The 14,239-nt window shown below is 36.6% G+C and overlaps 1 protein-coding gene and 1 non-coding gene across 5 annotated transcripts in view; both read left to right on the top strand.

Moving 5' to 3' along the window:
- BUB1 (BUB1 mitotic checkpoint serine/threonine kinase) overlaps positions 1 to 14,239 on the top strand; it is a 40,536-nt gene that overhangs the window by 18,767 nt on the left and 7,530 nt on the right. For all 4 annotated transcript variants that reach the window (NM_001278616.2, NM_001278617.2, NM_004336.5 and 1 more), the window contains 8 exons: positions 555 to 683; positions 777 to 887; positions 1,652 to 1,751; positions 2,180 to 2,261; positions 3,381 to 3,558; positions 5,774 to 5,861; positions 8,513 to 8,751; positions 9,920 to 10,063. In NM_001278616.2, coding sequence (NP_001265545.1) covers positions 555 to 683; positions 777 to 887; positions 1,652 to 1,751; positions 2,180 to 2,261; positions 3,381 to 3,558; positions 5,774 to 5,861; positions 8,513 to 8,751; positions 9,920 to 10,063 — 1,071 coding nt within the window. The remainder of the gene's footprint in view (positions 1 to 554; positions 684 to 776; positions 888 to 1,651; positions 1,752 to 2,179; positions 2,262 to 3,380; positions 3,559 to 5,773; positions 5,862 to 8,512; positions 8,752 to 9,919; positions 10,064 to 14,239) is intronic.
- Positions 1,048 to 1,147, top strand: SNORD132 (small nucleolar RNA, C/D box 132). Its single transcript, NR_132975.1, has one exon. It is a non-coding gene; the product is annotated as a small nucleolar RNA, C/D box 132 (small nucleolar RNA).

Genomic DNA, 14,239 nt, shown 5'->3' with positions numbered 1-14,239 from the left:
ATGCCATTAGCTTGGGCAACTTTTCAGACAGAGGGAATATTAAGTGCTAAGCCCTCAAGCAGGAAAATCTCTGATATATTCTAAGCACAGCAAAGGGACCAATGTGGGGAGGTAAGCAGGGAGAGGAGGAAGGTGAGGCCTGACCAAACAGGACCCAGGCTGTGCAGGGCCTTGTATTCTATGCCTGACTGCAGTGGAATGAGATGGGAAGCCAATCTTAAGATTTACATTGTGACTATGAACTTGGGATACAGTGGCACTAAGGGTATAATTTATGACAAAGTTGCTAATCTGGTATAATCCAGACCAACCACTCAATCTCTCTCAGCCTTCATTTCCTTTTCTGTAAAAGGATAATTTTCACCTCATTTACTTCATAGGACTATTATAAAGATAAAAATGAAATATATGAAAGCACTATAATACTGGAAATTCTTAGTGATAATTTTTAACAATGACAAACTGTTTTAATTGTAACTTACTTAAATTGTGTGTCTTTTAAGTTATTCTGATTTCCCTACTGATACCACATTTTGTCTCCATTTCTTTGCTAGGGTGTGAAACACATAAGGTTGCCAACACAAGTTCTTTTCACACAACTCCAAACACATCACTGGGAATGGTTCAGGCAACGCCATCCAAAGTGCAGCCATCACCCACCGTGCACACAAAAGAAGCATTAGGTAAAGTATTTTATCTGAGTGTGTAGCACCTGATGACAAGTTAATGAAAGCTCTTTTGCAACCTGTTTACAATTATTCTTTTTGTTCTTTAAGGTTTCATCATGAATATGTTTCAGGCTCCTACACTTCCTGATATTTCTGATGACAAAGATGAATGGCAATCTCTAGATCAAAATGAAGATGCATTTGAAGCCCAGTTTCAAAGTAATAACTATTTAAAAGCTACTAAGTGCATAGCATTATAGGTGGTTATCACAGAAAATATCAAGAATTATTTAAGAGGTGACCCTGCCCTTGATTAGCTTGTCACATAAAGGCAGGGAATGCATGAAATAAAAATAAGACAGTTCTTGACAAGGTACTCAATGTGTGTGATAGATTTGCTTGATTAAAGGGAAAAAAAAAAAAAGAATAGTGCTAAAGAAGGACAAAACCCCCATGGATAAGAAGGGCTGAGTACTCAAGGTGTGACTTGAGCCTTCACTGGTAGAGGAATGGCTGGGGCAGAGTATTAGAGGAGGCTGGCAGCTAGCCCACATTTGTCTAGAGTCAGGGGATTCATGCTAGAAGCCAGAGATCATGATAAAGATAAGTAGAAGCCAATTAGACTCAGGAGGACTTGAAATGTAAAGCTAAGAGCTTAATTCTTTCTTGAAGGAAATGGAAAACGAAACCCTGAGAGCGTTTATTGAGTGAGTCAGGTGACAATAGTACTGATTTAGGAGAATGATTAACACCTTGCTGATATGTGGCAGGGACTCGTGACCTGGGACTTGAGTACAAAACCCTGTTACCATAGTTAAGTCACTTCATCTCACTATAGTGACTTACTGCCTAGTATTTGAAAAGCTGATATTAGTTCTTTTCTGTCAGCTGTTAGTCCTTTTTCTTATTTGTAGTTGAAGTTTAATATAAAGGATGTTTTTTCCTAGTACAATAATTAGATGCTATTTTTTATTCTGTTGCAGAAAATGTAAGGTCATCTGGGGCTTGGGGAGTCAATAAGATCATCTCTTCTTTGTCATCTGCTTTTCATGTGTTTGAAGATGGAAACAAAGAAAATTATGGGTAAAAAAATACCATCTAGTTAATGGGATGCTGCCGAGTTTTCTCTGGGACCAGAGGTGGTGGGGTGGTGAGGAGAGAATGTGAACTGCCAATCACATGGTCAAATGAGCCTTTTGACCACACAACCAGGGGGGTGTTGCCAAAGTTCTCCAGATTTACAGTACTGCAGGAATTCATTTTTGGCTTCTAAAAGTTATGTGACAGAAATTTCTGTACTTCCCACCCTCAAGTAATGATAGGTCTACTTTTATAAGTCATGTTAATTTGATTACACTCAGTTTTGCTAGAACTGCTATAAAAGCAAGGAATATCTATATAAAGATTAACTCATTAAATAGGATAAGTAGAGAACTTTTCTAATGGTCAAGTGATAGCATTTATTTCCTTAGCATATTTTACTATTTATAATTTAGCAAATCTTTCCTTAGATTACCACAGCCTAAAAATAAACCCACAGGAGCCAGGACCTTTGGAGAACGCTCTGTCAGCAGACTTCCTTCAAAACCAAAGGTAAACAAACCTGTTTTATCTATGAAATGGGTCCTACAACCCATCCGCTTTATTCTACCAAATGATTATGCCAGTCAGAGGATATTGTGTATGTGAAACTATGCTAAAAACTATGAAACATAGGAAGAATATGTTTCTTTTAGGACATTATTTAATAATTATTCAAGAAGAAACAGGGTATGTGCATATTTTCCAAGTGTCCTACCAAAATTATTTATTAATATTCATTACTGTGGTGGTTTCACATTTATCCACAAATTCTTTGAATTTTTTTCCTCCAGTTTAATTCATCTCCTTTTGAGTGTGGCTAGATTTGGTGACTTGCTTCAGACAAAAAGCAAAGGGAAAGGGAAAATTAGATTACAGTAGGGAAACATGGGAGATTCTGCCTAATCAAGTGATTGGGTTAACCAGGAATAAGTCATGTTGACAGCAGATATCCCCTAATATGATGTAATGAGAAGAACATTTCACCTCTGATATCCTTCCCAAAAATCTGTAACCCCAGTCTAATCATGAGAAAACATCAAATAAGCCCAAACTGTGTAGGGACATTCTACGGAGTTTCTGACTAGTGTTCAAAAGTGTCAGTACAAAAAAGACTCGGAAAGGCCAATAGACAATGACAGACTCAAGGAGGCTAAGAACACTTGAGAACTAAAGGTGACATGGGATCCTGGATTGGATCCCTGAACAGAGGAGGCACATTAGTGGGAAAAAAAAGGTGAAATCCAAACTACAGTTAATAGTACTATTTCATTTTTACAAATGTGCCACAGTTCTATAAGAAGTTGACATTAGAGGAAGCTTGGTGAGGAGGGTATGTGGAAATTCTGTGCTATCTTTGTAACTCTTCTGTAAATCACAACTTTTTCAAATTAAAAAATATATATATAATTTGAAAACAAAAATGTGGCTCTTGCTGTAATGTAACTCCACTGATTTTCCAGTTCTGGGGAAAAGAACTGAACCATGATATTGTGGGCTGTATTAGCCAGGGGTTGACATCTGTTTCTTCTTTAATCCTCATTTCTTTGGATCTTAAAGTGTTATTGAATAAGGTTTCATGGACTAAAGAGGGAGATTGCTGCTTTTTTTTCATTTCATCTTCTGTTATAGGAGGAAGTGCCTCATGCTGAAGAGTTTTTGGATGACTCAACTGTATGGGGTATTCGCTGCAACAAAACCCTGGCACCCAGTCCTAAGAGCCCAGGAGACTTCACATCTGCTGCACAACTTGCGTCTACACCATTCCACAAGCTTCCAGTGGAGTCAGTGCACATTTTAGAAGATAAAGGTGTGTGTTACACTGTTTTAGTGTCTGTCTTCTGCCAACTTTGATTCTTTCAGTTTTCTTCATGAAGTTTGATTCTTGTAGTTTTCTTCATGGAAATTCCACATGGGAACTTTGAAAATCATAAAGAAGAAACTTAAAATCTGTTCATTGTATTTTTGTTCATAGGTTTTTTTTTCCTTTGGCATATTGTCTTCCTAAAGTCTATGTATTTTTAAAATATAATAGCTTAGATTATAGGTAGAATGGGAGAAAATCTATAGAAGCATTTAAAGGAAATAAGGTCCAACCCATTTGTATAGATAGAGCATGTTTATTTTGTTTCATAGCAAACAAAACAGCCACTACAGACATTAAATTATTTGAATGCTAAAAATAATGAACATTTATATTTTCTAATTTAATAAGAGTAACAGCCAATTTTAGTCCTAGATGTGTGTCTACACACATATATGTCAACTTTATTAGACATAGCCAAGTACGATAGTCAGAAAGTCTTATTTTTCCTACTTTTAGTGATCTGACTTTAAGAAAGTAATGATAAAACTCACAAGTAGTCCTTATTTCTACCGTTTCAAATCTATCACCCTATATATTTAAAAATTCATCATATATCTGAATTGAATCCTAACATATGACATTGTCATTGAGCACAGATAATTGTTAACTATTAAGTACCAACCTACAAACTAGACAGTCCTCTTGGTATCCACAGAGGATTGGTTCCAGGAACCCCTGCAGATACCAAAATCCAGGTGGATGCTCAAGTTCCATAGTTGACCCTGCAGAACTTGTGGATATGGAACCTGTGAATACAGAGGGCTGACTGTATACTAACTATCATTGCTCACGCTTTTAAAATATAGCAATTGTTTACCAAAGCAATAATAGAAGAGCTGCCAAAGAATTTCACTTCATTGGATGAAAGCATATTTTAATGTGGGTTCTGAGCCTATAGACCTAAACATTTTTGACCAAGGATTTCTTAGAGTGCTAATCCAATATAATAAATTTCTTTTCTGAATCTTAAAGGAGAGGTCAGTTGAAACTTTGACAATTGCCAAGCACCATCACAAGCTTGCTTTTAATTAAAAAAAAAAAAAAAAAAGATTAAAGCCTTTTCCATCCAGGAAAAGTAGTTTAATGAGTCTAAAGAATCCTTCAAAAAGTCAATATTGGCTATTCTTAAGAGTATTTGGCACTTTGGCTCGATAAACAAAAACTAATGTTCTAGTGCTAAAAAGTAGTAACACCTGTTCAGTGAAGGAGTATCTGATAAAATGTAATCCAATATACTTGGCTGTGTGCAGTATTATAATCACTTGGTAGAAATTTATTCTGTATTTCTGTTCTTCCTAGTTTACCTATCTATAGATAGATTTTTTTTTTAATTATGGAGAGTAATAAATATTGCCAGGTTGCTTTCTGATTTAAACACAAAATCGTTTCAATAAATTAAATGCTAATTTAGTCAATCAACTAATTGACTACAACATGTTAAAGTGAAAAACCCAAAATCTCTGCCCTCCAGAAGCATTGTAGCCTTTTACTCTCCATGTTCTTGTCTTCAGGTTCTCCTGAAGCTGGGTGTAGCCCTGCCATCCGTACCAGTAACTTCCCATGGTCTGGTCATCCTGCCCACAATGGACTTGCCACTCTCTCGACCCCTTTTTTCTTGAAGGATTATAGGAATTAGATGTAGAGTTGAAATGCTCACATATATTAGTAGTAGATTTTATTTGTTTGTTTGTTTTTAAGAGATACGGTCTTGCTATGTTGCCCAGGCTGAGTGCAGTGCAGCCTCAAACTCCTGGGCTCAAGTGATCCTCCTACCTCAGCCTCTTGAGTAGCTAGGGCTACAGGCTCCTACCACCACATCTGGTTAATTTTAAAAAGTTATTTTAGGGATAGGGTCTCACTATGTTGCTCAGCCTTGCCTCAAACTACTGGCCTCAAGTGATCCTCCCACCTCAGCCTCCCAAAGCACTGGGATATAGGCATGAGCCACTGTGCCTGGCCAGTAGTGGATTTTTTTAAAGTGATTTTTTCCTCCCATTTTTTTAATCTTATTATACATTTTACAATGGAACACTATTTTGAAATCATAATGCAAGTCAGTGTCAAAAGAAATCCTAGACTTTGTAACCATATCAAATGGTGTGTGTTGTGCACACATGTGCATCTAACATATCTTGTCTCTAATTTTTGAATCTTTCAGAAAATGTGGTAGCAAAACAGTGTACCCAGGCGACTTTGGATTCTTGTGAGGAAAACATGGTGGTGCCTTCAAGGGATGGAAAATTCAGGTATTGTGAGGGTTTATTTGGTTCTGCCATTCTCTTCATTTTCATTCTAACATTGTTTACCATTTTCATTCTAGCTTTGCCTTTTAGGCTGTAATAGAATACCTAATTTTAGCCTTAAAGGCCAATAAAGATTTTATGGACTAGTAGCTTTAAGTCAGAAGGTACTCTCCGTGAATATACATACAACAGTGAACCTAAGCACTTGATACATCAGGCCGGTGCTTGATGAGAAAACATCAGAGAAACCCAAATTGAAGGACATTCTCCAGAATACCTGGCCAGTACTCCTCAAAACTGTCAAGGTCTTGGGAAACTAAGAAAGACTAAGAAACTGTCACAGATGAAAGAAGAGTAAAGAGACATAGCAACTAAATGCAACCTGGTACCCAGGACTAGATCCTGAAGCAGAAGTTCCTTAGTGAAAAGAGTGGTGAAATTGAATGATGTCTACAGTTTAGTTAATAGTAATGGAACAAATGTTGGTTTATTAGTTTTGACAAAGGTACCATTGTAATAGGAAAGGATAATCTTAGCAGAAATTGAGTGAGGAGTATACAGGAATTCTCTATTATCTTTGCAACATTTCTTTATACCTAAAATTATTACAAAGAAAGTATAGTTGAAAAAAGTTTACAACGGAAAAATGTGACAAGTGAAAATAGCAGTGTATGAAATTGCATGTATAAATTTATTTGTATAAAAATACATACTTCAGTATGTTTAGGTAGATATTGATTGGGGGTGTATGTGGAGATATATGTGCAGTCAGTTCTCATTATTCACTATAATTCTATAGAGTCACCACAAACACTGAATTAGTGAATACCGAATATTCTTAAGGGGAATACAGACAGCATCCTTCAAGCCTCTAATAACAACATTTTGTTAAAAAACACCTTATTTATTATATATTGTCAATTCATTAACATTGAATTTATGTCCAGCAACACTGACTTACATCTAAATAAAGCTTATCTAATACACATATTTTCACAGGTTTCTAGTGCTTAGGAACATTAGAGAGCACTTCAGCACTATACTTTGGGACCATTTTCAATACCAAAATCACCAAGAAAAAGCACAAAGACACAAAAATTGTGACACTAAGTACAGCTCGAAAAGGATACTTGTTTGCAGTATGAGAGCTGGAACCGGAAGGCTGAGTGTCACCTTGTTCAACCTTAGCTCAGAACATGTATGTTAGGTGGCTCAATTTTTCATCACTCTGCGTTCTGTAAATGACTGAAAAATCACTATGAGTATTGATTTGAAGCTTACAAATAAATTTTAGCATGCAGGTGAATTCACAAATATGAAATCCATTAATAATAAGGATCAACTGTATACTGTGTGTGTGTGTGTGTGTGTGTGTGTGTATGGATGTATATGTATACATATACTTCCATGTACAGTCATGCAGTTGCTTAACAACTGGGATACTTTCTGAGAAATGTGTCTTTAGGCAGTTTCATTGTTACATGAACATCAGAGTGTATTTACATGAACTTAGATGGTTTGATTAGTTTACTACACACCTAGGCTATATGGTATAACCTGTGGCTCATAGGCTAAAAACATGTACAGCATGTTATTGTATTGAATACTATAGGCAATGGCAACAGAGTGGTGTAAGAATTTGTGTATGTAAACATAGAGAAGATATAGTAAAAATACAGTGTAAAAGATAAAAAATGGTGTTCTGTATAGGGCACTTCCCATGAATGGAGCTTGCAGGACTGAAGTTGCTCTGGGTGGGTCAGTGAGTGAGTGAGTGGTGAGTGAACGTGAGGGCCTAGGACATTACTGTGCACTGCTGTAGACTTCAGAAACACTATAGTTAGGTTACACTAAACTTATAAGAAAAATTTTTCTTCAGTAATAAATTAGCCTTAGCTTACTGTGAGCTTTTTACTTTATAAACTTAAAAAGTTTTATCTTTTTGACTTTTGTAACAACACTTAGCTTAAAAAACAAACACATTGTACAACTATACAAAAATATTTTTTCTTTATATCATTCTATAAGCATTAAAAAAATTTTTTTTTTCACTTTTTAAACTTTTTTGTTAAAAACGACCACACAAACATACACATTAGCTGAGGCCTACACACCCAGGGTCAGGATCATCAGACATCACTAGGAGACTGGAGGTTTTCGGCTCCATTATGATCCTATGGGGCCACCATTGCATATGCTGTCCTCTGAATTGTTGTTATGCAGCACATGACTATATATATGGAAGTGTACTGGAGTGTTGTATTGTGATTGACATTTTCTGTTTGTTTCAATGTTATAAAAGCAGCCATTTTTGGAATAAAGTTAAATATTCAGTCTTGATGATAGTAGTGTCGCATAGATGCAGCTTGGAGAAATAAACCCACTCCTGACATTTCCTACTAAAGAATATCCCATGTATTACCTCACCTATTTATCTAATATAACCATATCTTGATTTTATTATTTCTGTTCATATTGTACTAGCTGTATATTTTCATAGATTTGTTTGTCTAAAAATGCTTTAATCAACTTTTAGTCTGTGAGGCTATTGTGAAATGTCATTTCTAGAATGAGAAGGGAATTTCATGTGACTGAATCCAACAGATTTCTAATCATGTGGTGTTTTGGTTTCTTTATTCCTTTCACACGTCCAGTCCAATTCAAGAGAAAAGCCCAAAACAGGCCTTGTCGTCTCACATGTATTCAGCATCCTTACTTCGTCTGAGCCAGCCTGCTGCAGGTGGGGTACTTACCTGTGAGGCAGAGTTGGGCGTTGAGGCTTGCAGACTCACAGACACTGACGCTGCCATTGCAGAAGATCCACCAGATGCTATTGCTGGGCTCCAAGCAGAATGGATGCAGATGAGTTCACTTGGGACTGTTGATGCTCCAAGTACGAACACTCACTCTTTGTTATGCCCTTGAATCAGGACAGGAGCATGGGGAAAGCTGTCCCATGAAAGAAACCCACAGTGGGACTTGAATGTCACTGAGTAGAACAGATGTCAGTGAGTTCAGATGAAACTTGCATAATGCATCACAATGGAGTAACAGTAGCATACTTGAAGGGCAAATCAATTTTAATTTTAGAAGGTATCAAAATAACTACTGTTGGAAGAGGGAATTAGAATTTGACAGCCTACTACGTGCCAGGCTTTTAATCTAATACTATTATATTTTACATTTTACAGAAGTAAACTGAGGCTGAAGGTTAAAGAGACACCCCCCCCCGCCCACCCCCTTGTTACACATAAACAGTCTGGCATAGTGGTTAAGAGCACAGAGTCTGGAGATGGACTGACTATGTTCTAATCCTAGCTCCCTCACCTAAGTAGTCACGTGATCTTGACCAAGATCATTTCAATTTTCCATATCCCTCTTTTCTGTAGAGTTGAGCTGATGCTAGTACCTACCTTAGAGGCTTATTGTAAGAACCAAGTAAATTAATAAAGCACTGAGAACAGTGTTCTGCATGTGCTTAGCGCTGAGTGAGTGTTAACCATGTTGGATTAGTATTTGATAACTGCCACTAATATAATTTTTTGTAACATTCCAGGTTGGAGAGAAAGCTTTTTCTTACTTTTAGAAATTATTTCTCTTTTGTGGACCCAAAGTATATCTCATATATGCAAATTGCACATAGGTAGTATAAGTTTTGTGGATATAAGTGGAAAAGAAATTAAATAATATGTGTCTATCTGCGCACATTAGAAGTAACTAATGTCCACATCTGCCCTTAAGACATGTATCCCTAATTGTGTTAAAGATAGAATCTAGCCGTTCCAGTTGAGTGGAGCAAATGCACCTAGAGTTGATTCCCTTTGTCACAACTAAATATTGATCCAAATTTGTAGATCTAAAATGGCAAATAATAAACTGTGCAGAGCTACCAATTTTGACTTTTAAAAATAGTTCTTTTTTATTTTGAATTAATACTCTTATAAGGCTTTGAAAGCTTACTTAGTAAATATCTCTACTCACTTTGTCTATAATTTATTTGGTAAAGTTCTTGAGTACTCAATTCATGTTCCCTTTTTTTTTTTTTTTCTCATTCCTTTAAGACTTCATTGTTGGGAACCCATGGGATGATAAGCTGATTTTCAAACTTTTATCTGGGCTTTCTAAACCAGTGAGTTCCTATCCAAATACTTTTGAATGGCAATGTAAACTTCCAGCCATCAAGCCCAAGACTGAATTTCAATTGGGTAAGAATTATTTGGATAATATAACTTTAAATTCTTGTTTCTCTATGAGAAGTTGATGGTAACGTGTGTGTGTGTGTGTGTGTGTGATTCTCCTATTTGCCCCCCAACCTCCAATAGGGAGTTGTATCTGTAATACTAAACTGATCATTTTGTTAAGCCATGATTGTAGGATTGTGCTTGCTGTTGGGACTATAACTCCTATAACTCATAGAGGGCAATTTGCCAATATCTATTAAAATTAAAAATGCATTTACTTTTAAAGCCAGCTATCCACTTTTAAGGATTTCCTATAGATATTATTATATACTTCTATAGTAAAATACTATAGTAACATTGGCAACAGAACAAGAAAGCTCACTCTGTACTGATAGGGAATGAGCTCCAAAACATACCATACTGTTAAAAGGGCAGAGCCGTATGTATTATATGCCACAATTAAAACAGTTAGCTGTAGGTGGGAGTGGGAAACAATGGTAGCAAGACTTCACAATATTCCCTTTTAAGTTTTTTAATGAATAGACTTTATTTTTAAGAGAAGTTTTAAGCTTACAGAAAAATTCAGCATAAAGTACATATTCCTACCTCCCCATATATACACACACAGATTTTCGTGTTACTAACATCTTGCATGAGTGTGGTACATTTGTTAAAATTAAGCCAATGTTGATGCATTATTAATTGAAGTGCTAGTTTACATTAGGGTTCACTCTTTGGGTTGTATATCCTGTGGGGTTTTTTACGAATGTAGTACAGTGACATGTATCCATCATTACAGTATCATACAGAATCATTTCCTCACCCTAAAAATCCCCTGTGCCTCACCTATTCATCCCTTCCTCCTTGTCCCCCAACGCCTGGCAACCACTGATTGTTTTGCTGTCTGTGTAGTTTTGCCTTTTCCATAATGTCATATAGTTGGAATCATATAGTATATAGCCTTTTCAACTGGCATCTTTTACTTAGCAATATGCATTTAAGGTTCCCTTGTGTCATTTCATGATTTGATAGCTTTTTTTTTTTTATCACTGAATAATGTTTAGTGCATGAATGTACCACACCGTTAAACCTTTCCACTCATCTAATGAAAGAGATCTTGGTTACTTCCAAGTTTTGGCAATTATGAATAAAGTTGCTGTAAACATCTGTGTGCAAGTTTTTGTGTGGACATAAGTTTTCAACTCATAATTTGGGTAAATACCAAGGAGTGTAATTGCAGGGTTATATGATGAGAGTATGTTTACTTTTGTAAGAAACTTCCAAAGTGACTGTACCATTTAGCATTCCCACCAACAGTGAATAAGAATTCCTGTTCCCCAGTCTTGCCCTCATTAGGTGGTTGTCAGCGTTTTGGGTTTTAGCCATTCTGATACGTGAACAGTGATATCTCAATCTTGTTTGAAGTTTCAATTACCTGAAGACATACTGTGTTGAATATTTTTTCATATGCTTATTTGCCATCAGTATATCTTCAGTGAGATGTCTATCCAGATCTTTTGTCCATTTTCTAATTGGTTGGTTGGTTTCTTATCATTGCCTTGTTCCTGATCTTAGGGGGAAAGCATCTACATAGTTTATTACCTATAAGTATGATTTTAGCTGTAGGTTTTTTGTAAATGTTCTTTGTCAAGTTAAGAAAGTATCTCTCTATTCCTAGTTTGCTGAGAGGGTTTTTTTTTTAATCATAAGTGGGTGTTGGATTTTATTTATCGTGCTCCTTTCAATATTTTCTGCATTTATTGATATGATTATATGATTCTTTGTTGATGTGATGGATTTCATTAATTGAAATTAATTAATTAAGTGTTGAACTAGCCTTGTATACCTGGGATAAATTGCACTTGGTTGTTATAGTGTATAATTCTTTTTCTACATTGTTGGATTGGATTTACTTATAATTCTTTTTACACATTGTTGGATTGGATTTACTAATATTTTGCTGAAGATGTTTGTATCCGTGTTCATGAGAGGTACTGGTCTATAGTTTTCCTTTCTTGTAATATCTTTATCTGGTCTTGGTGTCAGGGAAATGCTGGCCCCTTAGAGCCCCTTAGGATGAGATAGGAAGTATTCCCTCTGCTTCTTTCATCTGCGAGAGATTGTTGAGAATGGATATAATTTGTTCCTCAAATGTTTGACAGAATTCACTAGTGAACCCATCTGAGCCTAGTGCTTCCCGTTTTGGAAGGTTATCAATTACTGATTCCATTTCTTTAACAGATATAGGACTGTTCAGATTATCTATTTCTCTTTTGTGGGCTTTGGTAGATTGCGTCTTTCAAGGAATTTGTTCATTTCATCTCAATTCTCATTTGTGGATATGGCATTCCACTATTGATTTCTACTGTAATGTTTATTTCTTTTATTCTGCTTACTTTAGTTTTAATTTGCTCTTTTTTCTAGTTTCTTAAGGTAGAATCTCATTGATTTTTAGATCTTCTTTTCTAATATATGTATTTAGTGCTACAAATTTTCCTTTACTGCGTCCCACAAATTTTGGTAAATTGTATTTCCATTTTCATTTGGTTCAAAATATTTTTAAATTTCTCTTGAGACTTCTTTGACCAATGTGGTATTCAGAAGTATGTTTAATCTCCAAGTATTTGGGGGACTTTACCTTTCATACTGTGTATGATTTCTGTTCTTTTAAATTTGGTAAAATGTTTTATGGCCCAGAATGTTGTCTATTTTGGTGAATATTCCATGTGAGCTTGAGAAGAATGTATATTCTGCTGTTATTCGATGAAGTATTCCATAAATGTCAATTAGATCCAATTGATTGATGCTACCATTCAGTTCAACCATGTTTTTACTGCTGATTTCCTGCCTGCTTTATCTGCCCCTTCCCGTCCCTCCCTGTCCCGCCCCTCCCCTCCCCTCCCCTTCTTTTCTTTCTGTGTTGAAACAGGGTATCACTCTGTCATCCAGACTAGGGTGCAGTGGCACAATCTTGGCTCACTGCAACCTCAAAATCCTGGATTCAAGCAATCCTTTGGCCCCAGCTTCCTGAGTAGTTAGGACTACAGTCATGCACCACAACATGCAGCTTTTTTTTTTTTTTTTTTTTTTGGGTAGAGATAGGGTTCTCGCTATGTTGCCCAGGTCTCGAACTTCTGACCTCAATCCATCTTTCTGTCTTGGCCTCCCAAAGTGCTGGGATTACAGGTGTGAGCCACCACACCCAGTTGATCTGTCCATTTCTGATGGAAGGGTGTTGAAGTCTCCAACTATAATAGTGAATTCATCTTTTTCTCCTTGTAGTTGTATTAGTTTTCGGTAACTTTTGACTCACATATTTTGACACTCTCTTGTTAGGCTTATACACATTATGTCTTCTTGGAGAATTAATCCCTTTAACATTATATAATGCAGGCCAGGCACAGTTACTCACACCTGTAATCCAGCACTTTGGGAGCCAAGGCAATAGGATCAGCTGAGGCCAGGAGTTTGAGACAAGTCTGGACAATGCATTGAGGCCTTGTCTCTACAAATATTTTTTTAAAAAAATTAACCAGGCATGGCAACACGTGCCTGTAAGTCCCAGCTACTTGGGAGGCTGAGGCTGGAGGATCACTTATGCAGAGGAGTTCAGATTAGCCAGGGAACATAGCAAGACCTTGTCTTACACACACACACACACACACACACACATACACGTAACGCCATTTTCTATGCTGATAATTGTTTTGCTCTGAAGTCTGCTCTGTCAGAAATGAATATAGCTATTATTACATTTTCTTTTATTAGTGTTAGCATGGTATGTCTTTTTCTATCCCTTTACTTTTTTTTTTTTTTGAGAAGGAGTCTCGCTCTATCACCCAGGCTGGAGTGTAGTGCCGTAGTACTATGATCTTGGCTCATTGCCACCTCCGCCTCCCAGGTTCAAGTGATTTTCCTGTCTCAGCCTCCTGAGTAGCTGGGACTACAGGCGCACACCACCACGCCCAGCTAATTTTTGTATTTTTTTTGGAGACAGGGTTTCACCATATTGGTCAGGCTGGTCTCAAACTCCTGACCTCAGGTGATCCGCCTTCCTTGGCCTCCCAAAGTGCTGAGATTACAAGTGTGAGCCACCGCACCTGGGCTTATCCCTTTACTTTTCATCTGTCTTGGTATTTAAAGTATGTCTTTGTTTTGATTGGTATATTTAGACCACTGATATTTAAAGTGATTATTGAT

Source organism: Homo sapiens, chromosome 2 (genome assembly GCF_000001405.40).
Source record: "Homo sapiens chromosome 2, GRCh38.p14 Primary Assembly".
NCBI lineage: Eukaryota > Metazoa > Chordata > Mammalia > Primates > Hominidae > Homo > Homo sapiens.
This window is presented reverse-complemented; position numbering and strand designations above follow the sequence as displayed.